At 40.4% G+C, this 27,257-nt stretch overlaps 1 protein-coding gene across 8 annotated transcripts in view, besides 2 other annotated features; it reads right to left on the bottom strand.

Annotated features, from left to right (window-relative positions):
- Positions 1-27,257, bottom strand: part of USP9X (ubiquitin specific peptidase 9 X-linked) — a 151,135-nt gene that overhangs the window by 113,842 nt on the left and 10,036 nt on the right. The gene's annotated exons all lie outside the window — the stretch shown is intronic.
- Positions 5,636-5,695: an enhancer, noted in NCBI's record as "active region_29553". NCBI's record gives its function as "activates an Ori minimal core promoter by ATAC-STARR-seq in GM12878 lymphoblastoid cells {active_cell/tissue: GM12878}" and the evidence as "EXISTENCE:reporter gene assay evidence [ECO:0000049][PMID:35858748]".
- Positions 7,956-8,088: a silencer, noted in NCBI's record as "fragment chrX:40973903-40974035 (GRCh37/hg19 assembly coordinates)". NCBI's record gives its function as "represses an EF-1alpha promoter that drives an FKBP-Casp9 reporter gene in an ReSE screen in phorbol 12-myristate 13-acetate-treated (for megakaryocytic differentiation) K562 erythroleukemia cells {active_cell/tissue: K562(+PMA)}" and the evidence as "EXISTENCE:reporter gene assay evidence [ECO:0000049][PMID:32094911]".

Genomic DNA, 27,257 nt, shown 5'->3' with positions numbered 1-27,257 from the left:
CCTGATTCTTCCCAGACACAGGAAAAGAACTCGGGATGCCCTAAATGCAGAAACCCAAAAAGGCTGTCACACTGACTCTTCTCTGAGCTGTTTAACACTTATGCTGGGACAGCAGGGCTAAAGGAGCATTGTAACACTCCTAGACACTGCTGTGGGGCCGGAGCCCAAAAGCGCTCACCCTGGCTCCTGTACCTGCTCACCTGTGTGCTCCCCTTCCCATAAGAGGAATAAATGAGCCACACCCCTGTCACACATCCTGTGAGGGCGTCAGGGAACTCTCCTGTTTCAGTAACATGTGTACTTAGACAAAGTACAAAGTGATTTTTTAAAACATTTCAAGGCAGGCCGCACAACTAACGTTTATCACTGATACTAGGGCATTATAAATGGTTTTTTAAACTAGCTTCTAAGTACTTTTAACATAAACTTTGACGCTTTGGAGAGAAACATCAGGGGTGCACGCATACAGAGTAAAGACCACGTAAAGATGCAGCAAAAAGGTGGCCACCTGCAAGCCAGAGAAGAAACCAAACCTACCAACACATTGATATTGGACTTCTGGCCTTCAGAATTGTGAGAGAACAAATTTCTGTTAAGATCCCCGCTCTCTCCACCCCCTACAAACAAAAAACCCTGAAAACCCCCCAAAAACCTCTGGTAAAATTTTAAGAGGGTTCAAACTACATAATACTCCAATACAACTGAATTTGTCAGATGATCTCAGCTCTCTACTTTGGCAAGGTTTTGGCTCCAGCCACTCCTAGAGCCATAACAGGGTTACAAGGCCACAACTGTTTAAGAACAGGGAACTCTTCTTTACAAACTGACCAGCAAACAAGTACAGGAGAATGCTACCAAATCCTCAATTCTATATTCATTAGATCAGTAGCCCTCTTCAGCTACACAATAAAATCACCTGAAGTGATTTTGTTTAAAACACTGATGCCCAGGTTCCTCTCCAGATGAAATAAATTACAGTATCTGGGAGTAAGGCCTAGGCATCAGAACTTTGCAAAAAATCTCCCCCAGTGAATGACTCTAAGGTGCCACCAGATAGAGAAACTTAACTGATTGGTTCTAACTCACTGGCTCTCAAGAGATTGAGAGAGACTTCCCACAAGCATTGCAAAGTTTCATTTCTAAGTTTTCTAATTATGACCTGGCTTAAGACATTCAAAACCAAATGTATACCATGGTATATAAAACTTACCTGGGGGCTTGCTTCTGTAATATTAATACCCAAGTATTTTTCACCACTTAGGTTACCAAGCCACTGCAGGAAGTTTCGAAGTGCTCTGCCACAACTCACTTGATTCTCATACCCAGTCTATGCAGCACAGAAATTGAGTATTATCTCCATTTTACAGAGTCAAAAATAAGAGACAGCAGGGGCTTGCCTAAGTTATGCAGAGCGGACTCTAATTCACATCTGACTCTAAGACTTCTTCCTCTTCAAGTTCTCTATCATTGTCAAAAAAAAGTTGACGTACATTTTAACCCCTGCCACCACCTGACATACACACAAATTACAGGCAGATTAATGAGGAAAATGTAAACAACTATAGAAAGTGCTAGAGGAATATGTTTAAAATCAGGCGCAGTGGCTCACGCCTGTAATTCTAGCACTTTGGGAGGCCAAAGGCAAGCGAATCACTTGAGGTCAGGAGTTCAAAACCAGCCTGGCCAACGTGGTGACACCCCATCTCTACTAAAAATACAAAAAAAAAAAAAATTAGCCAGGCATGGTGGCTCACCCCTGTAGTCCCAGCTACTGAGGAGGCTGAGTCAGGAGAATCACTTGAACCCAGGAAGCGGAGGTAGCAGTGAGATGAAATGGGGCCACTGCACTCCAGCCTGGGCAACACAGCGAGACCCTGTCTCAAAAAAAAAAAAAAAACTTGACTAAAGCACACACAAAAACTGATTTGTTAAGATATGTTGGCTGGGCGCGGTAGCTCACGCTTGTAATCCCAGCACTTTGGGAGGCTGAGGCGGGCGGATCATGAGGTCAGGAGATCAAGACCATCCTGGCTAACATGGCGAAACCCCGTCTCTACTAAAAATACAAAAAATTAGCCGGGCGTGGTGGCGGGCACCTGTAGTCCCAGCTACCTGGAGAGGCTGAGGCAGGAGAATGGCGTGAACCTGGGAGGCAGAGCTTGCAGTGAGCCGAGATGGCACCACTGTACTGCAGCCTGGGCAACAGAGCGAGACTCTGTCACACACACAAAAAAGATATGTCCTCCTCTAGGCAAAATTCAGAAGCTTCAGGGAGAAGTAGAAAAACAGATATGAAGATAGACTTCTCAAAAAGAAATAGAAGTGACTAATAAATACATGAAATAAGACATAATTTTAAAATAGAGCTTTTCGCATGTTAGGCACTGTTTGTAGCACCGTAATCCTTACAAATGTATACAGTAGGAACTAGTATCATCCCTCTTTACAGGTAAGGAAAGGGAGGCACAGAGAGCAAAAGTAAATTACCGTATCAGTAAGTACTAAGTGGCAAAATGGGATTCCAACCCAGGGAGTCCATAGCTCTTAAATGCTACACTAGCCTGCCTCTCAACCTCATTAGTAATTGCGAAAATGCAAATTACAAAACCAAAATTTGTTCCACTGATCAAACTGGCGAAGCAAAACAAAGTTTTAAGACTGATACTATCAAGTACTGGTGAGTCTAAAGACATAGAAGCTCTTTAAATACATAAAGTGGAAAAAAAAAATGAAAAAGTCTGATTTAAGCAGTCCCTCTTTCGCTTTTGTTATCCATTTTATACACCCTAAATTACAAAGAGTGTTACGTGAAGCAGACAATTTTCAAAACCTTGAGAAACTTGCATATCATTTTCCTTAGCCACTTTGGGTCTGCTGACAAATTATGTGAATGATTATTTTCTTTTTTGAGACGGAGTCTCGCTCTGTCACCCAGGCTGGAGTGCAGTGGCGCAATCTTGGCTCACCGCAACCTCCGCCTCCCGGGTTCAAGCAATTCTCCTGCCTCAGCCTCCCGAGTAGCTGGGACTACAGGCTCGTGCTGCCACACCTGGCTAATATGTGAATAATTATTTTCTTGGCACTCAAAATATTAGCTAACCAATTCAACTTTATTCTTGTCTACTTCAAATCTGCTCCAGTTTCTTCTTTTTCTTGTCCCTCAGCTTGGGGTCATGATCCCATTGTATACCCTCTCCAAGGGATGATGCTCCAATCATCATCATCCCCAATCAATCTTTTCCCAGCCTGTGCTTGAATCTTCCCTACTGAAAATCACCAGTGTCTGCCCTTCCCTTTTCCCACAAGTCGTAAGACTGTCTCCATTTCCCCCTTCTCTTTCTTTTTAAATAAATGTGATGAAGACAAAGTAGGTAAGTTGTAAATTTTGGGTTTTTTGTTGTTGTTGTTTTGAGACCCAGGCTGGTCACGAGATCCTGGGCTCAAGCAATTCTCCTCCCTGGCCTCCCAAAGTGCTAGGATTACAGATGTGAGCCACCATGCCCCGCCCATCTCACCTTCCACTTTGTCCATTCTCTCTCATCACCTGGCTCCATCCAAAGCTACTAAAACTAAAACTGCTTTAAGCCAGAAGGTCTTAATCGAGACGTAGGGATGGGCTTCAAGATTAATTCCCCTAAAAATTACATACAAAGCTTTTGAGTATGTGCATTAGGGGACGCATGAGAAGAAGGTCCACAGATCAATGTTCTACTTACTGACAAATCAAATAACTGCTTCTCAATATTCATCCTGTTTGCCCTCTTCTCATCATTAGACACTGACCACCTCTCCCTTCTTGAAACTCTGAGCTTCCTTGGCTTATATAATCCTGGACTCCAGGTTTCCCGTCCACTTCTCTTCCAAGGAAAGGGGTAGAGTGGCAGTTCGTACAGTTCTTAACATTGAAACTGAGGTGAAAACCACTAGAGAGTTGGCTCTACACGTCTAGAATTCAGGCAAAACTTGGGAATCTTGAACACAGATTCAACTATTCACAAAAGGGTAGGAAGAGATGGATTCATCAGCACCACCTGGGAGTCTGTTTTTTTTCCCGAAAATAAATACAACCTCCACTCCCTACCATCTCCTCCTGAGAGTGATGAGGTTAGCGACTATATATTCCCAAGTGTGGGGCAAGTAGGGGGCCAGGGAGATCACCTTGTCTACTAAGCCAATACTGTGTCTCTTTTAAAAGTCTTTCCAGGAAGCAATACAAGGACGAACAAAATGTGGTACCTATGTTCAGTGGATTATTTAGTATTTTTTAAAAAGAAAGGAAATTCTGACAGGTGCTACGATATGGGTGAACCTTGAGGACATCATGCTAAGTGAAATAAGTCATTCACAAAAGAACAATACTGCATAATTCCAAGTACACGGGTACCCAGATTAGTCACGCTTGCAGAAACAGAAAGTAGAATGATGGTTGCCAGGGGCTGGGGGGATGGGGAGTTATTGCTTAAGGGGTACAGCGCTTCAGTTTGGAAAGAAGAGAAGTTCTGGAAATGGATGATGGTAAGCATCCCACAATGTGAATGTACTTAATGCCACTGAACTGCAAACTTAAAAATGGTTAAAATCAGCCGAGCACGGTGTTTCACGCCTGTAATCCCAGCACTTTGGGAGGCTGAGGCAGGTGGATCACCTGAAATCAGGAGTTCAAGACCAGCCTGACCAACATGGTGAAACTTGTCTCTGCTAAAAATACAAAAATTAGCTGGGCGTGGTGGCGCACACCTGTAATCCCAGCTACTCGGAAGGCTGTGGCAGGAGAATCGCTTGAATCCGGAAGGCAGAGGTTGCAGTGAGCCGAGGTGGTGCCACTGAACTCCAGCCTGGATGACAGAGTGAGACTCCGTCTCAAAAAAGAAGAAAAAAGGGCCGGGCGTGGTGGCTCATGCCTGTAATCTCAGCACTTCTGGAGGCCAAGGTGTGCGGATCACGAGGTCAGGAGATTGAGACCATCCTGGCTAACACGGTGAAACCCCACCTCTAATAAACATACAATAGCGGGCGCCTGTAGTCCCAGCTACTCGGGAGGCTGAGGCAGGAGAATGGCGTGAACCCAGGAGGCAGAGCTTGCAGTGAGCCGAGGTCGCACCACTGCACTCCAGCCTGGGCAACAGAGCAAAACTCCGTCTCAAAAAAAAAAAAAAAAGAAGAAGAAAAAAAAAAGGTTAGAATGGTAAATTTTATGTATATTTTCCCACAGTAAAATTGTATATATAGAGTACTCACTGTTCCCTTACCTTGCAGTTCTTTTAGCATTTGGAGATCATTTGAGCTAAAATACCTCAAAATTATATTCTCATATTTTTATGCACAATATCCTTCCATCTATATGAATTCAGTAACCATCTATACACAAATCAGAAATATCTGGCAAAAGTCATGGTATAAATTATTCTAGACAAAAGTATCATGTGGATAACTAAGGGACTATCCCTTTAAACAAAATAACTAAGATAAATGGGAAAAGCGGCAGTGTGAAACTCCTCTCTCAAAACACCTTTCTCTAAGACCACAGAACTAAATCATCTTCTGCTTATGACAGGACACTCAATCAGCAAAAGCCTCAAGCTGCTTGCTATCCCTATCTCTTATATAGTCTCGCCTTTCTAGCTCTTGGTTTCTGTTTCTTCTACCCGACAAGCTGTCCTCATTTCTATATTTCCGGTATTGCTGAGCAGGTATGTCAGGTCTCAGCATAGCATACTCTGCTGCATCTCTCTACTACCACATAAGAATTTGATCCCTTTCCCTCAGCACACTAAGATGCAAGATAAAGAGCAGGAAATAGGCATGGAGCAATTAAAAATAATTTCTGGATTCAAACATAACTCATTCAAAATCCAACTTCTGTCACTTACAATCTGCCTATCTTAAAAAGAAAGTAACAACCTCTCTCATTCTTTTTCCAGGTATTTAAAATTGAGATGCTATTACCCACACAAAAAAAAGAAAGCCATGAGAATTGCTTTAATAAAAGGAGTCTCACAAATAGCAAGCACAGTAATTCTCAAAAAAATGTAAATTTTCTTTTCCCTTTCTACAATGTACTGTGCAGAGTTCCTAAATATTTCAGGAATGAATCTGAAAATATTGCCTTCAGATATAATTTGGAAAGGTTTGAGTGGGAGAAAAAAACTTATCACAGATACAACTAAGTTATCCAAGAATAACACCACTACTTTTCTTAATAAATCCTATTCAATACTCAAGTGGTGGAAACAGCTGGGAATCACACAGCTTTGCCTGATTTCAAGTAGCAGTCTCACAACTCTAAAAGAGCCTGTTTTTTATGTCACAGAGATTTAGGCATACCTAGCAGGGCTAGAACAAGCTCTCTACCAAGTCAAAGCAGCAGTATCCTACACACAACTGAACAACTTAGTAATTATTCAAATCATTCAATATTTGACACAGTAACAATCACTTTCCATAGGCATGCTCAAATACAATGAATCACAGTGTGAAATTTTACCACATGAAGTTTTACGCTTTATTTCATAAAAACAAAATTATTACACAAACAGAAGCATCTTTAATTTTCTCAATGGGAAATACAACCAAAATGGTGATTTGATTGCCTCTACAACACACAACACATTTTCATATTCAAACTTAGCATCCTAACATCTTCCACAATGGGAAAAGCATCACCTTTACCTAGATAAAGGCTGGACTGCATTAAGTAATCTAGTACTCCATAAACAGCAAACCATTTACTTTAAACTTTGCAGAACTGAATTTCTCCAGCAGCTTTCACACAGGGCCTTAATACCAGAGAAATCCCTTTTAGAACAAAGAATTATCCTTTCTTACCCAGTCATTATCCCAACTCTGCTAAAATTTGCCCTATGTTCCAGAATCTCTCTCCTTTTATACAGCACGTTGAAATCCTCTGATTCTACATATGATCCTAGGATACTTAAGATTTTCTTCTCTCAATTTTTCTTTTCATCCAAAAAAAAGGTGTTTAAATAAAAACTCAAAGCTTAGTCATTCAAAAATTGTGTACTGAGCATCTGCAATGGGTCACATATTGTTCTAATCATAGGAGAATATATGGAAGTACACAGTGCATCAAATATCTCTGCTTTTGTGGAACATTACAGACTGGGGATAGAGACAATAAACAAGCAACAGCAACTCCAACCCCCTACCAGATTATTTCCTTTACTGGACATCAAAGTGAAATGAGTTTCTTAGAAAACAATTTGATAGATCATCCTTAAGCTCAAACATGGAAATTATCTTGACTTGGAAATTAATCTTGACTTGTGAATTTTGCCTATTCCGGTTTTATGCACCAACAATCAAAGGGAATTACTTCTCTTCCTTTCAAATTTCTATGTTTAACCGACATCTATAACCCTTGTTTTTCCATTAAAATATTTGACTCACTAGAGACAAGAGACCTAACTGTACAACACAAGCTATACTTAGCCTTCACCAGTAGAGGGCGCCAGACCTCACTACTTTTTTTTTTTTTCTTTTTCTTTTTTTTTTTTTTGGAGACGGAGTCTTGCTCTGTTGCCCAGGCTAGAGTGCAGTGGCACAATCTCGGCTCACTGCAACCTCTGCCTCCTGGTTTCAAGTGATTCTCCTGCCTTAGCCTCCCAAGCAGCTGGGACTACAGGCAGGTGCCACAATGCCGGGCTAATTTTTGTATTTTTAGTAGAGATGGGTTTTCACTATGTTGGCCAGGCTGGTCTAAAACTCCTGACCTCGTGATCCACCCGCCTCGGCCTCTCAAAGTGTTGGGATTACAGGCATAAGCCACTGCGCCCGGCCCATAAATAACTTTTGATTCCTCAGAAACTTAACTACTAACAGCATACTGATGACAAGAAGCCTTACTGATCATAAAGAGGCGACTAACATATTTTGTTACATGTATTATAATACTGTATTCTTACAATAAAGCAAGCTAGAGAAAAAAAGAAACTCAGAAGGGGTGGTGACTCACACACCTGTAATCCCAGCACTTTGGGAGGCTGAGGCGGGCGGATCACTTGAAGTCAGGAGTTTGAGACCGGCCTGGCCAACATGGTAAAACCCCGTCTCTAATAAAAAATGCAAAAAAAATTAGCCAGGTGTGATGGTGTGCACCTTTAATCCCAGCTACTAGGGAGGCTGAGGCAGAGAATCGCTTGAACTCGGGAGGTGGAGGTTGCAGCGAGCTAAGATCGCACCACTGCACTCTAGCCTGGGTGACAGAGTGAGATAGTCTCAAAAAAAAAAAAAAGAAAAGGGAAAAAAAAGGAAAGAAGAAAATCAGAAAATGTATTTATAGTACTGTACTGTTTTTACCAATAAAGTAAAATTACATCATCTGTTTACAAGATCAATCATCTGAAATGGCGGACAACCACAGCTGCAGACCTCAGACCTCAATCTATGGTACCTATCAAGCAATTCAACTTTTTCTTATAAGAAACTTTGCAGAACATTATAACGTCATGACTTTTCTCTGCTTCTTGGGAGCCTGTTCGCCAGCACCACTAGTGACACTTCATGAGTCCCGTAATGTTATTCAAGGTTTATGGTATTGCACTAAACATGATGAAAAATACATGAGAACATGAGAGATCATTTTTTACTATGATAGACCATTTACTGGAGAGATGAACTGCTCATGCAGAGATCAGCGTCACATATTTTCATCGGATACTTACAACAAACTCATCGCAGTAGCAAAAGGAGATGGCTATGAAATTACAGTAGTAGAGAATGTACTAGTTAATTTTATGCAGTTATGACTTAATCCATCTTTACATTTGTTCACATTTCTCTCAACTGCACGTGGCACCACATGTGGTCTATAAAAACGTTTGTGTGCATTAAGTTTTGATAAATGTTAAATTTATAATAGATTTATGTATATTTTATGGTAGTAAATAGATTATTATCTACATGTATTTTACGCGTTCATGACACACCTTTCTTAATTTTTTCAGTATTTCCAAGCTATGCAGTTTATCCTGTTTTTTTCAAATTGTCACAAATCTCCAAAATATTTTCCAATATATTTATTGAAAAAAATCTGCAGTGAAAGTGGACCACACAGTTTGAACCCATGTTGTTCAAGGGTCAACTATATACTGATTTAAAATTATAATGTGAATGTATAAATCAATTGTTTCATGTTTATTACAATCCAGTAAGCAGCATCTTTTCAGCTAAGCTTTCTTTCAAAATGCCCACCATTTTAGAGTACAAAAATACTTATTTTTGGCCAGGCGCGGTGGCTCATGCCTGTAACCCCAGCACTTTGGGAGGCCGAGGCGGGCAGATCACAAATCGGGAGTTGGAGACCATCCTGGCTAACACGGTGAAACCCTGTCTCTACTAAAAATACAAAAAATTAGTCGGGCATGGTGGCAGGTGCCTGAAGTCCCAGCTACTCGGGAGGCTGAGGCAGGAGAATGGTGTGAACCCAGGAGGCAGAGCTTGCAGAGAGCAAGATCGCACCACTACACTCCAGCCCGGGCGACAGAGCGAGACTCCATCTCAAATAAAAACAACAACAAAAAAACGTATTTTTAAGCCAAGTTTAGATCTTTTTGAATTTTTAAATTGAACATGCTGTTGCTATGACAGATTCAATTATGTTTTTAAAGACAAAATTTTAGTGCATTGTTGTCTAGAAGAAAAAGTAACCTACACAGCAGTTTTTCTACCACAGCATGAGAAAGGACACTAAAATAAGGTTATCACAGGTTTGACACACTTCTATGGACACAGAGAAATTGCCAAAAAACAAAAACTGTATAAAGCAGAGCACAAAATAAAAACAGCAAACATTAATAGCTTATATGCTGGACTTCAAGGATTCTTTTGGTGCCTCAATCGAAAACACATGAAATGTGAGTGAAAATAATTATTAAGGGGATAATCTTGACTCTAATATTTTTAGGTAATCTCATTTGCAAACATTACTATTTTAACTAATTATTTAATTGCTTATAATTACTTGTAGCATACACCTCACAATCAATTATATTTAGACACTATGGTCCATAACCACCCTGTGGGCAAGGCGAAACAGGTCTCAGTATTTATGCTAAAGATTTTTTTTCTTTTGTGGACTTGTTGGTTCCATTCCATTCAAAAGTTCTCTGTGGCTCCTTTCCAGTTCTTAGTTTGTATATTATTCTTGAAAAGTTTTAAGTACTTACTTGTGTATCAAGCACAACAGTAGGTGCTTTATTTGTATAATCTCATTTAATCATAATACCTATCTCATACAGCCATCAGTCCAATTTAACAGACATAAATAGAAGCTAAGAGATTAAGTACACTGAGCTTATACAAGATCACAATAATTTCCGTTAAGACTCTAAAACCCTTGGCTCTTCCAACTATACCATGAAGGTTCTCTACAGAATCTGTTGTTCTCTATAAATTCAAACGGGGAGAAAAGGAAACAACAGGGAAAAGGGATTGAGCTTTCTTTTGAAAGCAGTGACTGTCAGGCCTGCATCCATTCCTACAATTGTTTTGTTCTTTCGGTATTAAAAATCATCACTATGAGTTTTACTGAAATGCAAAATATGTCACAGCACTGCTTAAAAATCTTCAAAGACTGGCTGGGCGCAGTGGCTGACGCCTGTAATCCCAGCACTTTGGGAGGCCAAGGCAGGCAGATCACCTGAGGTCGGGAGTTCGAGACCAGCCTGACCAACGTGGAGAAACCCCATCTCTACTAAAAATACAAAATTAGCCGGGCATGGTGGTGCATGCCTGTAGTCCCAGCTACTAGGGAGGCTGAGGCAGGAGAACTGCTTGAACCCGGGACGTGGAGGTTGCAGTGAGCCAAGATTGTGCCACCGCACTCCAGCCTGGGCAACAAGAGTGAAACTCCGTCTCAAAAAAAAAAAAAAAAAATCTTCAAAGACCAGGATGAAGATCAAAATACTTATCTAATGGTCTACAAGGCCCTCAAACACCCAATTCCAGCCTCATCTTGCAGCTAACCCCAGCCAAAGCTTGTTCAAACTCCAGTTCAATTTGCCTTCTTGTTGTTCCTTCACAAAGTGCTCCTTCATGCCACCTCTGAGAGCCTCTGAACAAAGCAGTCTGCTTAGTTTTACCCATATTAATTCAGCAGCTCCCAACTCTCCTGACTCAGGATTCATCAAGTACTCACATCCTAGACTCTAGGAGCCAGCTACCCTATTTTCTCATAGCACCTGTGTGAGTTTATCTTCTTACTAAAACATAAAAGCTCCTTAAGGGCAGAAGCTATGCAAGCTTTGCTCATCACTGAATCCCAAGGATTCATTGGCAAACAACAGGTGTTTGTTTGTCTTAGCCCCTTCTGTAACAAAAGCTCAGAGTGAGTGGCTCAAGTAACACTTAACAGTTCTGGAGGCTGGGGAGTCTAAGATCAAGGTGCCAAGCATATTTAGCGTCTGGTGAAGGCCTGCGTTCTGGTTTACAGATAGCAATCTTCTTACTGTATCTTCACAAGGCAGAAAGAGTGAGGGAACTCCCTGGAGTCTCTTTTATTAATACAAGGGCACTAATCCCATTTGTGAAGGTTCCACTCTCGTGACCCAATCACCTCCCAAAGGCCCCACCTCATCACATGAGGGTTAGGTTTCAACATATGAATTTGCGAGGTGGAGGGGTGGAGACAAACGTTCAGTCTATAGCAGTGCTCAAAACTAAAATTGGGAGTGTGGGGAAATACAGTAAAAACAAAGTCAAATCTCTCCCTTCCCATCTCCTCCATTCTTCTTTCATGATGTGTCCAATGTTATCTTTTCCACTCCCACTCAAACCACTCTAGCCTAGACTCCTATTTTAACAGCATCCTGGCTAGCGTCCACACTACCATACCAATCGTTCAGTATATTAATGCTAAATTAATCTCAACACTTTCAATCTCTAAAACCTTGAATGGCTTCTCTTCTCCATCTGGTACATATTCAAGGTCATTCATAATCAGCCTTTAACTTATTTTTCCAACTTTGTCTCTCATTTCCCAACTTCAATACTAGTGCAGCCAGGTTGACACACCTCAAATTTTAAATAACATTTTCCTCATTAATAGTGACAATAGCTAACATTTAAGTATTTGTCTCAGGCACTATTCTAAGCAAGTTAATCCTTAGAACAACCCTATTATCAGCCCAATTTCATGAGTAAAAAAACTGGGACAGAGGACTACAGGCTGTCAAAGTGGTAGGAGCCAGGATTCAAACTCAGACAGTACAAGTGCCAGTGTCCTACAGTTTTAACTATCACACCATACATCAATAATGTCAGAAAAGGGAGGGGGAAACTACCATTAATCTCACCATAACCCCACTCCCAAGACAAACTGTTTAGTTTTTGATGCAGAAACATGTTTTACAAAATTGGATTTTTCACTTAATTCACAATTTCTGCATGTTAAGTATCGTTGTCACTGTTATAGTACATATCAAGGAACTAAGACACAATTAGCTGTATTCCTCAGATATATGGAATAAAAAATCATGTTATAAAAATTAGCTGGCTGTGGTGGTGCACACCTATAGCCCCAGCTACTCCGGAGGCTGAGACAGGAAGATCACTTGAGCCCAGGAGTTTGAGGCCAGCCTGGGCAACAAAATGAGGCCCCTTCTCTGGGGGAGGGGGTGTTTGAGAATCCTTCTCAAACAGGCAGGAGTGGCTGAGAAGTCTGGGGATCTCTCCCTCTGACAGAGTGTGTTAAATGAGGAGGTTCATGTTAAGGAGTCTGAAATACAGTAAGTTATTTTTAATAGTTGAGCCCACAGCTATACACCTAAACATCCCTAAGTTATTTTAAAATGTGGCCTTTGCTCAAAGGTAAAAGCTTTTCTTTTCCTAGTTCCACCAGCACTGCCATTATCATTTGCACAGACTTTATCATTCTTATCACACATTATGATAAATTATACCCAAAGCCAGTCAAGATAACTGTATTAAGCACAGGTTTCCTGCCCCCCCCATCCCCAGTGTGATGCTACTTCTAGACAGCTTTAAATCCAATCAATAATTCAGGTTAATGCAAATAAAGATGTCCAATTAATCTTTGTTAAATTCAAATATGTTACTTGAGCTAAATGCTCGTATTTTATTTCCAACACTATTCACACACACATACACACCCCTTACAGATTCCTGATTTTTGTCACTAAATTACTGTGTACATCCATGGCTACTTCCTATAAGTCACTGCAACAGAACTGCATCCTGCATTCAAAATTCTTTGTGGCAGCAGAAATGTATTCTTTTAGAAATGCTCAGTAATTGGCCAAACACCCTTATTCAAACCTCCTCCATATCGAGCATCTGTCAAGTTGTACGTACACAATTAGAGTAATGAAGCTTTTACATACATATAAACTTCAGCATCTTTTCCAAAGCATTCTCAAACACAAATTTTTAAGTGGCTGTAGGCAATTTGAGTAATTTTACATTAAAAATAACTTTTGGAATGGTGCCCTCAAAGGCTCCGTAAATGCTCTCCCCAGTGAAACAATCGTTAACTGGTGAAAATTATTTTTTTAAAAAACAAAAAACACTAAAAGCCTCTGGAAATTGTCCTAAGGGCATATACCAAATGAAAAAATAATTTATTTAAGAAAATCTACCATATCTCAGTAAGGATAGTCTGTGGCATTTGAGCCAGCTCAGCAGGACAGTAGCTCCACTCCAGGTGAGAACGGCCAAGAACACACCTCCCCCGACCCAGCTCCCAGTTGATGGTATCTCCCCAGGAGGTAAAGGCAGGCAGCATTTCTCAACACCCCCAACTTTGAGTTGCACAGGCTCTATTGCACCAAGAGTGGCTAAGAAGTCTGGGGCTCTTTTTTCCAGCTAGGCCCCACTTGTGAGGCAGACGCTCTTAACCCCAGGTGCAGCAAGTCAAGAAAAGCGTGGTCCTAATGGCCCCCACCCCACCTCACTCAGAGTCAAGATTCCATGGCAGGCAAAGCCAATCACCCTGCTCAAGAAGCAGAGGTGTCACTCTGAGAAGTGAGCCACAGTCCAACCCAGTTCTGAAGCAGTGGTGTAAAGATTTTGCCCAGGGGGAAAGGCAGGCCGTAAGAACAGAGTTCTGAAGTTGTCTTAAAGTGAACTATTTGAAACAATATGGTAATATGCTGCCTGAGGGTGTGTTGGAAAACAACACAAAACAGGAGAGATCATGGTAATAAGCAGCTATCAAAAGACCTGTGGTGGACAGCAACAAGTTAAACTACTCAGCTAGCAGCTTACCAGATAGAACCAGGGAAATAAAAGCTAAGAACCTTCCTGGGGTCAGAACAAACCTCAGACACAGCCTCAAAGATTACTTACCCCTGGAAAGCATGAGAATTTAACTGGATCAGACTGTGGGGCAATTTATGTCCCAAGGAGTCATTTAAATCAACAGACCAATCAGTAGGCAATTAGTAGAGGCTAATATGTGCATGTGATACCAACACAGAGAGAGGTTTAACAGAGAGATCACAGAAACTCACAAAGCCTTGCTAAAATCACCATCATCCCAGGCATGACTAAGGCTACACCCGCTGAAGAGCAACATCACAGGCTGAGGGGTAGGCACTAAAATAGTTCAGCCAGTCACTACATAAATAAGGAAGCAACAAACAACAAAGCTGCTAGAGGTGTAGGGTATCCAAAGTTGCTATATTATATAAAAGGTCCAGTTTTAAACAAAAAAATTTAAGACATGCACAGAAGAATGTGTGCCCCACATACAGAAAAAAAGTAGGCAAAAGAAACTGACTTTGAGAAGGTCCAGACTTAGCAGAGACCTCAAAAACAGCTCTTATGCTTATGTTCAATGAACTAAAGGAAACCATGCTTAAAGAAGTAAAATATGACAATTTCTAAACAAACAGAGACTAACAGAATTTAACAACAAAAAGAACCAAACGGAAATTCTGGTGTTGAAAAGTACAATAACTGAAACGAAAAATTCAGCCAATGAGCTGTCGGAACAAAGAATCAGCAAAGATACAGACTGTTAGATTAAGCAATCTGAATAACAGAGAAAAAAAATGAACAGAGCCTCAGAGAAATGTGTGACAAAATAAGCAAACCAACATATGCATAATGAGAGCCCCAGAAACGGGAGAAAAGGGAACAGAAAAGACATTTGAAGAAATCAGAATCAAAAACTGCCTCCAAATTTAATGAAAACCATTAATCTACACACGCAGGAAGTTCGACAAATTCCAAGTAGGATAAATTCAAGATCCAGACTGAGAAACATCATCAACTGTCAAAAGCCAAATACAAAGACAATCTTGAATGCAGCAAAAAGTGCATCCATCACCACATACAAAGGATCATCAGTAAGACCAACAGCTGATTTCTCACCAGAAAACTTGAAGGCCAGAAGGCAGTGGGATGGCATTCTTCAAGCACTGAAAGAAATAAAACTATCGTGCCAAGCGCAGTGGCTCACGCCTGTAATCCCAGCACTTTGGGAGGCCAAGGCAGGTGGCTCACCTGAGGTCAGAAGTTCGAGACCAGCCTGGTCAACATGGTGAAACCTCATCCTTACTAAAAATACAAAAATTGGCCAGGCGCAGTGGCTCACGTCTGTAATCCCAGCACTTTGGGAGGCCAGGGCGGGTGGATCACGAGGTCAGGAGTTCAAGACCAGCCTGGCCAACATTGTGAAACCCATCTCTACTAAAAATACAAAACTTAACCAGGCATGGTGGCGGGCGCCTGTAATCTCAGCTGCTTGGGAGGCTGAGGCAGGAGAATCACTTGAACCCAGGCGGCAGAGGTTGCAGTGAGCCGAGATCACACCACTGCACTCCAGCCTGGGCAACAGAACAAGACTCTGTCTCAAAAAAAAAAAAAAAAAGAAAAGAAAAGAAAGAAAGAAAACTATCAACCAAATTTATTTCAAAAATGAATTCAGGGCCGGGTGCAGTGGCTCACGCCTGTAATCCCAGCACTTTGGGAGGCCGAGACTGGTGGATCACCTGAGGTCAGGAATTTGAGACCAGCCTAGCCAACATGGCAAAACCCCATCTCTACTAAAAATACAAAAAAGTAGCTGGGCGTGGTGGCAGGCACCTGTAATCTCAGCTACTTGGAGGTTGAGGCAGGAGAAGTGCTTGAACCCAGGAGGTGGAGGTTGCAGTGAGCCAAGATCGCGCCATTGCACTCCAGCCTGAGTGACAGAGCAAGACTCTGTCTAAAAAAAAAAAAAAAAAAAAAAAAAAATTAATTCAGAAATATACTTCCAGTATGACAACCGGAGGAGCATGACAAGACACAAACTCAGTGAAATAACACTGGTAAATACAATTATGCAATTATAAGAAAACAGTATGACTGCATATTTCTTTCTCTTAACTGACTTAAAATGCATTGTGTAACACAACATGTGTATAATTCATTGTTGAGCCTACTACATATAGAAGTGTTTCCCAGTAACAACATGAATTAACATGAAATGCATCAAAGACCTAAATATAAGATAAAAAAACTATAGAACTCTTAGAATGAAACATGAGGGTAAATCTTAATGACCTAGGATTTGGCAATGGATTCTAACAGATACAATACCAAAAGCAGGAGCAACAAAAGAAATAGTTAAATGGGACTTTATCAAAATTTTAAAATTTCTGTGCTCCGAAGAACACTGTAAACAGTGAGAAGACAACCCACAGCCCACAAATTACAAGAAAAACATTTACAAATAATGTATCCAGTAAGGGACTTGTATCTAGAATATACAAAGAATTCATACAACTCAATAATAATAAAAAGACAACTCAATTGAAAAATGGGCAAAGGATCTGAATGTGTAAGACATACAAATGGTCAATAAGCATATGAAAAGATACTCAACATTATTAGCCATCAGGGAAATGCAAACCAAAACCACTATGAGATATCACTAGGATGGCTATAATCAAAAAGGCAGAAAACACAAGTGATAGCAAGGATAAGGGGAGAAACTGGAACCCCTGTGCATTGCTGGAAGAAATGTAAAATGGTGCAGCCACTGTGGAAAACATATGGTGATTCCTCAAAAAGTTAAACACAGAATTTACATATGATACATACAGCAATTCCACTTCTGGGTATACACTCAAAAGAACTGAAAGGGACTTGAACAAATACTTGTACACCCATGTTCATAGCGGCATTAGTCACAATAGCCAAAATGTGGAAGCATATGTATCCGTTTGACAGATGAATGTGTCAATAAAATATACATACAAACAATGGAAAATAATCCAGCTTTAGAAAGCAAGGAAATTTTGACATGCTACAATATGGATGAACCTTGAGGGCACTATGTTAACTGAAATAAAGCGGTCACAAAAGGACAAATATTTTATGATTCCACTTATGAGGTACCTGGAGTCGTCAAATTCACAAAGTAGAATAGTGGTTGCCACTTTTCCCCCAACACATTGATGTTTTGTACCCACAAGTAACAGAAGCTGAATGCAGCATGGGGTTGGGGGTTATAGGTCTGAACCAGATGCTCATCACCACCACCTCCTAGCCCCACATTATTCTTCTTGGCTTAGTCAGGCCACATGCTCTGTCTCAGAAGTATGTACGCAGTTCCACCTGATATTTATGCATCTTAGCTTTGTCTCTCTAAGTCAGTCACCCCAACCCTCCCCCTTATACCTGCCCCTTCCATCAAGCTACCTTTTTCAAGTCCTATATTTATTGTAGTTTGTCAGAAATTTAGGATCTTCAAAACTGTGCTATTTTACTGGAATTTTTATTGTTTTGTTAGTGCTCTAATTACAAAGTAACATAGCTTTGAAGTGATCAGTTTACTCTTAAGCCCATTTTTCCCTATACACATTGTTAGTTTTTGGTACCTGATTTTTGCAGACTATGAGGTTTTCAACAATGCATATACTGCAACATAGCAGACAGGCCGACAACAGATGATGTTCTAACTCCAGGTATCTTTTTTTTTTCTCTCTCAAGATGGCTAATACCTCCAGAGACTGTTGAAAAGCTTTAATAGGAGAATGTATGTGAAGTACCAGACACACAGAGGGACCCAGTAAAGAGCAGGTGTTTTAACAAGTGCTGGTTATTCCTCTCTTGAAATGCTGATTATCCCCTCTTGACAATTCTTATTTTTGAATCTTCAGAGGGTCCCTATAAATATAATCTCTAGACCAGCCCAGAGGAAAATTATTCTCCCAACTATAAATTATCAGAATTTGCTGCTCCTGGTATACACACCACAATTGCTTAGGTTTTTAAATAAATGAACAGCCTCAACAGTTTTACTGATATAGCTGTTATTCCATTGCATTACAACAGAATCCTACCACATTTTAAAATTATTTTGTCCTATTTTTTAAAAAGTAAATTTCAAGTTAAAGGTATAGGCCGTGTGAAGTGGCTCACACCTGTAATCCCAACACTTTGGGAGGCCGAGGTGGGCAGATCACTTGAGCCCAGGAATTGCCCAGCACACCAGCCTGGGCAATATGGCAAAATCCTTCTCTACAAAAAATACAAAAATTAGCTCAGCGTGGTAGCATGCACCTGTAGTCCCAACTACTGGGAGTGCTGAGACAGGAGGATGGCTTAAGCCTGGGAGTTCAAGGCTATAGTGAGCCATGATCACGCCACTGCACTTCAGCCTGGGTGACAGAGCGAGAACCTGTCTCAAAAAAGGGGGAGTGGGGGTGGTATCTTACCTTCTAGAAGACAATTCATAGCATAATATTCCTATCAGATTTTGTGCTGGCTCTGAAGAAAATTTGACAGTAGGGAAAATTAAACTAGTAATGAGATAAAATTATGTGGTGCTACACAACTAATTATCTGTTGAGTGAAAGAATGAACAAATGAACGACCCTTTTAGTTAGAAATATATTTCCCATTTCATAAATAGAGAAATAACCTAGTAAATACAAAACTGCAGTCCCAGTTCCAGTCACCTAATGCCAAATGCTAGGTTTCCAGCAATAATATTAAGTAAGCTGGCTCAAGCTTGCAAATTCTGGTTCTATCATAACAGAATTTTTAAAAACTAATTTAATCACTTTCTATTTTAATGTTGCTTAAATAAATGCAGAAATGAAATTAGGATTAAATTCCTTATGCTTACTGCTCTCATAACTAAAACTAAAATAAATTTATAAATGGAATACAAATAAAACTATTAATATAACGTGACAGATGGCAGTGTATTACTGAATGCTAAGGCATGGGTTCGAGTTTTGCATGGCTATACCACCATCATATGTTCCTACTTCTACCTGAATGATTACACTACTCTATACACATAGTATCCTGTGACATCATTTGCCCTTGGCACCAACACATTATTAAGCTAACATAAGTACCGAAATGATGTTAACAGTTCTTGATTATGAGGCAGTCATCTGGATAATCCAAAAATGCATGTACTAATGTTGAAAAATATCATCAAAACGAAAAGACTTATTTTAAAAAGAAAACACCTTTCTTAACTCCTTTTTTAAATCGTTACAAAGGCTGTGAAGTTCCGACAAATCCCAGTCCCTAAATCAGCCAATAGGTGAGCAATGTTGACTTAATATTAGACATAAGTCACATCAAATGTTACAGAATGCGGGTATGCCTAACTATCAATCTACTCTGTTGAAACAACAGGTTAAGATAAACTCAAAGTTAGGCCGGGCGTGGTGGCTCAAGCCTGTAATCCCAGCACTTTGGGAGGCCAAGGCAGGCGGATCACCTGAGGTCAGGAGTTCAAGACTAGCCTGGCCAATATGGCGAAACCCTGTCTCTACTAAAAAATACAACAATTAGCCGGGCGTGGTGGCGGGCGCCTATAATCCCAGCTACTAGGGAAGTTGAAGCAGGGAGATTGTTTGAACCCAGGAGGTGGAGGTTGCAGTGAGCCAAGATTGCACCACTGCACTCCAGCCTGGGTGAGAGAGCAAGACTCCGTCTCAAAAAAAAAAAAGATAAACTCAAAGTTATCTGTTAACAGCTTTTTACCAATTTTTGACAAAATTATCTAACTTTTCTAAGTTACTAACCCAATCATGAAATGCTAACCCAATACACTGAAAAGAAAGATCTCATTTCATTTATGACATTTTAGACAAGGCAGTATTAATAATTAACTTTTTCTTTTTTTTGAGACAGTCTCGTTCTGTCGCCCAGACTTGAGTCCAGCGGCGTGATCTCAACTCACTGCAACCTCCACCTCCTGGGCTCAAGCAATTCTCGTGCCTCACCCTCTCAAGTTGCTGGGATTACAGGTGTGTGCCACCACACTCAGCTAATTAATTTTTTGTATTTTTAGTAGAGACAGGTTTTCCCTATGTTGGCCAGGCTGGTCTTGAACTCCTGACCTCAAGTGATCCGCCCACCTCCACCTCCCAAAGTGCTGGGATTACAGGCATGAGCCACTGCACCCAGTCTAGTAACATTTTTTATGTGCCTCCACTGGGTGTTCTTTCTGCCTGTATCTTCCAAAACCAGATTGGTTAAATCATAAATGTAAAGAATCTGAAAAAGTACACCAAAAAATTTCAAATTATGTTTAATCAATGAGATTATCATTATAAATTATATTTAAGTTTTTTAAAATAACACCCTTGAGATCTAATTCACATACCATACAAATCGTCCATTTAAAGTGTACAAGTCAAAGGTTCTCAGTATATTCAGAGTTGCACAATTATCACCAAAATCGATCTCAGATTACTTTTTCATCACCCCCAAAAAGAAACTTCATACCATTAATAGCATTCTCCCTTCCCTCCAACCTCCCCTCAGTCCCATGCTAATCTATTTTCATATAAATGGCATCATGTGATATGAGGTCTTTTGTGACTGGTTTATTTCACTTAAGCATAACATTTTCAAAGTTCATCCAAGTTGTAGCATGTATCAGTACTTCATTTCTTTTCATTGACAGATAATATTCCATTGTATATTTTATTTATGCATTCATCACTTGATGGACAATGGACATTTGGGTTGTTTCTGTAATAGTTTTACATACACAAATTCCACTAAGAAAGATCTGAGAAGAAGTATCCTCTAAAGTCATTATTTATTTATTTTTTTTAATTTATTTTTTTTGAGACGGAGTCTTGCTCAGTCGCCCAGGCTGGAGTGCAGTAGTGCGATCTTTGCTATAGGCGTGGTGGCGGGCGCCTATAATCCCAGCTACTAGGGAGGCTGAAGCAGGGAGACTGTTTGAACCCAGGAGGTGGAGGTTGCAGTGAGCCAACCTCCCGGGTCCAAGCAATTCTCCTACCTCAGCCTCCTAAGTACCTGGGACTACGGGCATGTGCCACCACACCCGGCTAATTTTTTTTTTTTTTGTATTTTTGGTAGAGACTGGGTTTCACCATATTGGCCAGGCTGCTCTCGAACTCCTGACCTCGTGATCCACCCGCCTAAGCCTCCCAAAGTGCTGAAATTACAGGTGTGAGCCACCGTGCCTGGCTGGCTTCTCTAAAGTCTTTATATCTTTGCACAATTAATCCTAAAGATTCGAACACTCAAATTAACACCGGAAGGGCTAATACTCAAAACAGAAAAATCTAAAGTGAAAGCTGTATCGAGTTACTGCAAATGAAATTTTCAAATACAATGTTAAAGCAAAAATAAAAACATTAAAAATTTAAAATATAGTATATAAAAGACGAAAATATTTAAATTCAGTATGTGGTACCTTCTCCCCATAATTATAGAGACACTATTATTAAACAAAAAGACCAGAGGTCAGCAATTTTTTGATAGAATATCACATATAAAATTAGAAGCAGAACAGCTAAAAGCAAGGGATGATCATCTTTAAAACAGGAGAGGTGGCCACATCTGCAATCCCAGCACTTTGGGAGGCTGAGGCGGGTGGATCACCTGAGGTCAGGAGTTCGAGACCTGCCTGGCCAACATGGTGAAACCCCATCTCTACTAAAAATACAAAAATTAGCTGGGCGTGGTGGTGGGCACCAGTAATCCCAGCTACTGAGGAGGCTGAGGTAGGAGAATTGCTTGAACCCAGGAGGCAGAGGTTGCAGTGAGCTGAGATCACGCCATTGCACTCCAGCTCAGGTGACAAGAGCAAAACTCCATTTCAAAAAAAATTTTTTTTAAATAAATAAAAAATAAGAGAGTTGCATGCTAAGGGCCCTTTTAGCTAGATTTTATGAAAGAGCAAATAATACTTGTGTGCCGTTGGAAATGCAAGACAGGAGGCAAAATTAACAAGGAAAAAATGCTAATTAAAAAGGACGATTGAAGGAACTTATATGCAGTAGAGCGCTCATTTACTCAGACATTATGTAATGCAGTAGTTAACACTAAAGACTGAAGATAAACTGCCTTAGTTTGAATTCCTGTTCTACCACTTAACTAGGTGTACAAGCTGGACAAGTTATTCAACCTCTGTGCCTTGGTTTCCTTATATATACAACAGAGACAGTAATATCTACCTTTTAGAGCTGTTGTAAGAATATAAAGAATTTATGCAGGTGAAGCAATTTCATAGATCCTCACACACAGGTGTTAAGTGTTAGTGATTGTTACCTGTGAGAAGTTTACAAAGCAGAATGAGAGAATATGTAAGAACTAAATTGAACTTATAATTTACAATAGAGCAGCACAATATGAGCACCAAGGAAAAAAACATCTAAATTAGAATGGGATATACTGAAATATGTAAGATGAAATGCTGTCTGGGTTTTGCATCAAAATGGAAGGGGGTAGGTAAAAAAGACTAGCCATGAGTTGAAGCTGATTGATGGGCAAATGGAAGTTTATCTACATCTGTGTATGTTTGATTTTTCCTTAATAAAAAGCTTGGAAAGGGAGTAAATTAGAAGAGGGTAGAGAGTATCTATTAAAGACTTCTCAGAAAAGGGATTACAAGCATATGCCACCAAGCCTAGCTAATTTTTGTATTTTTAGTAGCAACAGGGTTTCATTATGTTGGTCAGGATGGTCTCGATCTCCTGACCTCGTGATCCACCTGCCTTGGCCTCCCAAAGTGCTGGGATTACAGGTGTGAGCCACCATGACCAGCCAATTAAGTTTATTTTTAAAAGCCTCATTTCAGAAAATTCATTCAACTAGTGATTTTGAACTACACAAGATGTTATTAGCCAAGCTTCAAATTTTATAGGTAAGCAAGAGTTAAATAGTAAAATGACTGGTGAGCATGTGAAAGTATTCTAAACACTAGACACAAATACAAATTTAAGCCACCAGATATTCCTAAACTTCCACCAAGAGGGCTAAAATTAGAAACACTGACTGATAATAATACTAAGTATTGATAAGGAAGAGCAACACGACCTACTGCTAGTAGGAGTTTAAACTGGTACAACTACTTGGGAAATCTGTTTGGCAGTATTGACTAAAGCTAAACACATATGTATCCTATAAACCAGCAATTCCAATCCTGGATATGCAGCAAAAGACCACCAAAAGACATATACAAAAGTGTTCATGGCAACATTCTTTATATTGGTGAAAACACTGAACAATCTCAAACGTCAGCCAGACACAGTGGCTCACACCTGTAATCCCAGCACTCTGGGAGGCTGAGGCAGGAGGATTGCTGGAGCCCAGGAGCTCGAGACCAGCCTGAGCAACATAGTGAGACTCCATCTCTGTTTAAAAAAAAAAAAAAAAAAAAAAAAAACAATTATCTGGGCATTATGGCATGTGGTCGTGGTCCCAGCTACTCAAGAGGCAGAGGTGGGAGGAATCGCTAGAGCCTGGAAGGACAAGGCTGCACTGAGCTGTGATCACACCACTGCACTCCAGCCTGAGTGATAGAGCAAGACCCTGTTTCAAAACAAACAAATGAAAAAAACCCACCTCAATCCAACAGAATGGATAAATAAATCATGGATTTAATACAATACTATACAGTAATGAAAAAGACGAAGTTGGCTGGGCACGGTGGCTCACACCTGTAATCCCAGCACTTTGGGAGGCTGAGGCAGGCAGTCAGCAGTTCGAGACCAGCCTGGCCAATGTGGCGAAACCCCATCTCTACTAAAAACACAAAAATTAGCCGGGTGTGGTGGCAGGCGCCTGTAATCCCAGCTACTCGGGAGGCTGAAACAAGAGAATCACTTGAACCTGGGAGGCGGACGTTGCAGTTAGCCAAGCTCGCCACTGCACTCCAGCCTGGGCAACAGAGCAAGACTCCATCTCAAAAAAACAATAAAGAAAAAGACAGTTAGTGATCATGTATTGAGCAACAGCAGCCAGATACAGGAGTATATAGTGTATTACTCCATTTATCCGAAGTTCAAAAATAGGCATAACATTCATTAAAAGACAGAGGTCAGGCTGGGCACGGTGGCTCACGCCTGTAATCCCTGCACTTTGGGAGGCCGAGGTGGACAGATCACTTGAGGTCAGCAGTTCGAGACCAGCCTGGCCAACATGGCCAAACTCCATCTCTACTAAAAATACAAAATTAGCCAGGTGTGGTGGTGTGTGCCTGTAATTCCAGCTACTCGGGAGGCTGAGGCAGGAGAATCGCTTGAACCCAGGAGATGGAGGCTGCAGTGAGCCAAGATCACACCACTGCACTCCAGCCTGGGCAACAGAGCGAGACTCCATCTCAAGAAAAAAAAAAAAAAAAGAGGTCAGGGTATTTGGGGTTTTACAGGGAGGAGGTAGAGGCATAAGGGAACCTTCCAGGGTGCTGGAAATATTCTGTATCTTGATCTGAATGACTACACAGATGTATATATTTTCTAAAAATTTATCAAGCTATACAATCTCATATTTGTGCATTTTACTGTAAGTTATATATCTCAGTTAAAATAAAATTTACAGTAGATAAGCCACTCAAAAGATAACATCACATCTTCTCTTGGCAGTCTAAGACACTGGTTCTCAAAGATCCCTGAGATCTTTTCAAGAGGTCAGAGAGGTCAAAATTGTTTTCTTAAGACTTTACTTGCCATTTTCACTGTCATTCTTTCTCAAGTGTACTATGGAGTTCTTCCAAAGGCTATATGACGTATTATATCGCAATAGATTGAAGGCAGAAGGAGGCAGAGAATCCAGTTGTCTTCTATTAAGCCAGATAGGAGATTTGTAAAACATGTAAAACAATGCCTCTCTTCTAATTTTTGTTCTGGAAAAGTTATTTTTCATAAAAATATCTAATTGACATGCAGTGGGGTTTTGTTACTTTTAAAAGCATACATAACTTTATTAAATGTCTGTTTTCATTTCTAATACAGTAAATCATCAATGGCTGTAACCCCACATAAACAAAAGCTCTCTGGGATCCTCAATAATTTAAGAGTATAAAAGCATCCTGAGACCAAGTTTGAGAATGACTCACCTAAGAAACAAAATAAGCTTCTTTTGCTAGTTCTCTTACAGTAAAATAAGAAATGAGGTATCAACATTTTCTCTGAAACCATCTGTGCCAGATAAAAATCACTATTACTGTATTTATCTGTGTATTTTCATCTTCAATTCGGAAAAAATAATTTCCCCCTAAATACTATTTCCCCTAGCAGGCTATATCACTTTTTAGCAAGTTATGTTATTAAAGCACTAGACTGCAGATGAAAACTTAACCAAACTTTAAGTTGCTCTGCCAACAAAGAAATTATACCCCTGGCTACAAAGTCTATGGTCCCTAAATTCACAGTACAAGCTGTGGGCCAAGCACAATTAACCCACAGGATTCTAAATAAAATAAAGCCCTTCAGACCACACAGGAGAAACAAGGGAGAGGAGACATTCAAGTTGTTGGATTGACAAGTAAATGGAGGAATATAACCAACTTCTAAACCCATTAAAGTGTTTACCTTCTCTGTTTTCCTTTACTTGACAATTTCTCTTGACTACAGATTTTTCCACATCTTTAGGAATAAAGATAAAATTTAAGAACTTAAAAAAGTAGTAGTTTAACTCACCTCTTGCCCAACATCTTGGTTTTACAGAGTCATGAAGACCCAAGAGGTTAGCTAAGTGATTTAACACAGGGAGTTGGGTAACTGGAACTAAAGCACAGCTCTTGACCAGGCGCGGTGGCTCATGCCTGTAATTCCACCACTTTGGGGGACCAAGGCAGGCTGATCAGCTGAGGTCAGGAGTTTGAGACCAGCCTGGCCAACATAGTAAAATCCCATCTCTACAAAAAATACAAAAATTCGCCGTGGGTGGTGGTGCCTGTAATCCTAAGCTACTTGAGAGGCAGAGGCAGCAGAATCACTTAAACCCAGGAGGCAGACGTTGCACTGAGCTGAGATCACACCACTACACTCCAGCCTGGGCGGCAGAGCGAGACTCTGTCTCAAAAAATCAATAAAATAAAAAAATAAAACACAGATCTTGTGACTCCAAGTCCAGTACCCTTCCACTGACTACATTCTCACTTAAAATAGTAAAGCTAACCTCCAAAATAGGAAGCAATGAAATAATTACAATTAAACCATCAGATTATTCACCTATGTTTGTATATCAAAGTATTTTAGGGCAAAATAACATCTACACAAACCAAGGAGAGGCTACAATTAATGCTCTCTGGATGCCAGTCTAACCCCTTGCGGGGAGCGGGGGGGAAGATGACACTTGTGCTTTGATAATCCACTGTTTAAGGAACCACATTGAGAGAGTAGTCATTCTGTAACCCAGATTCCCTTCTCTCAATGACCTTTCAACAGACCTCAACAGACAGCAGCTCTCAGTGAGGAAAGGGAATTGGAGGTGGCAGGAAAAGTTGAAAGGAAGACAATAGAGGTGTTTTGCTTTTTAGCTCAGTACTCCATTCTGTGGCAGAAAAGCCAAACTCAAATTAGCAGCACCTCCCTCATACCATGGGAGCACCCCATTGATCTCCTTCCTTTATTCCATTCCCTAATCATTATTTCTTATCTTTCAGAAGAACGGTTAAAATACCATCTCAATCCCCCGACACTCAACTCTCCAACACATCTGCCACGAATGCCATCAGAATTATCTTTCAAAAACAAACACAAATCTAATGTCTCCTTTCACTTAAACTTCAAAGTACATCTCTCATTACCTTAACAGTAAAAGGCAAATGTCCTAACATGGCACTCAAGGTTACCCCTTGTGATTTTAGCTTCACTCAAACTACCTTTCAGTTCCATCTCCCATAACCCCTCCCCTCCCAGTATCTCTAGTGTTCCTTGCACACTCTCCTACTAGTTCTTACTCTGAAAACACTATACTTTCACACTTGCATTGCTCCATTTCAAATAATGGTTCTCAATTTTGCCCCCAGGGCACAACTGGCAATGTCTGAAGACATA

The sequence above is a fragment of the Homo sapiens genome, chromosome X (genome assembly GCF_000001405.40).
Source record: "Homo sapiens chromosome X, GRCh38.p14 Primary Assembly".
In the NCBI taxonomy this organism is placed as follows: domain Eukaryota; kingdom Metazoa; phylum Chordata; class Mammalia; order Primates; family Hominidae; genus Homo; species Homo sapiens.
The sequence above is the reverse complement of the archived record's forward strand: the minus strand, read 5'-3'. Positions and strand labels throughout refer to the sequence as shown.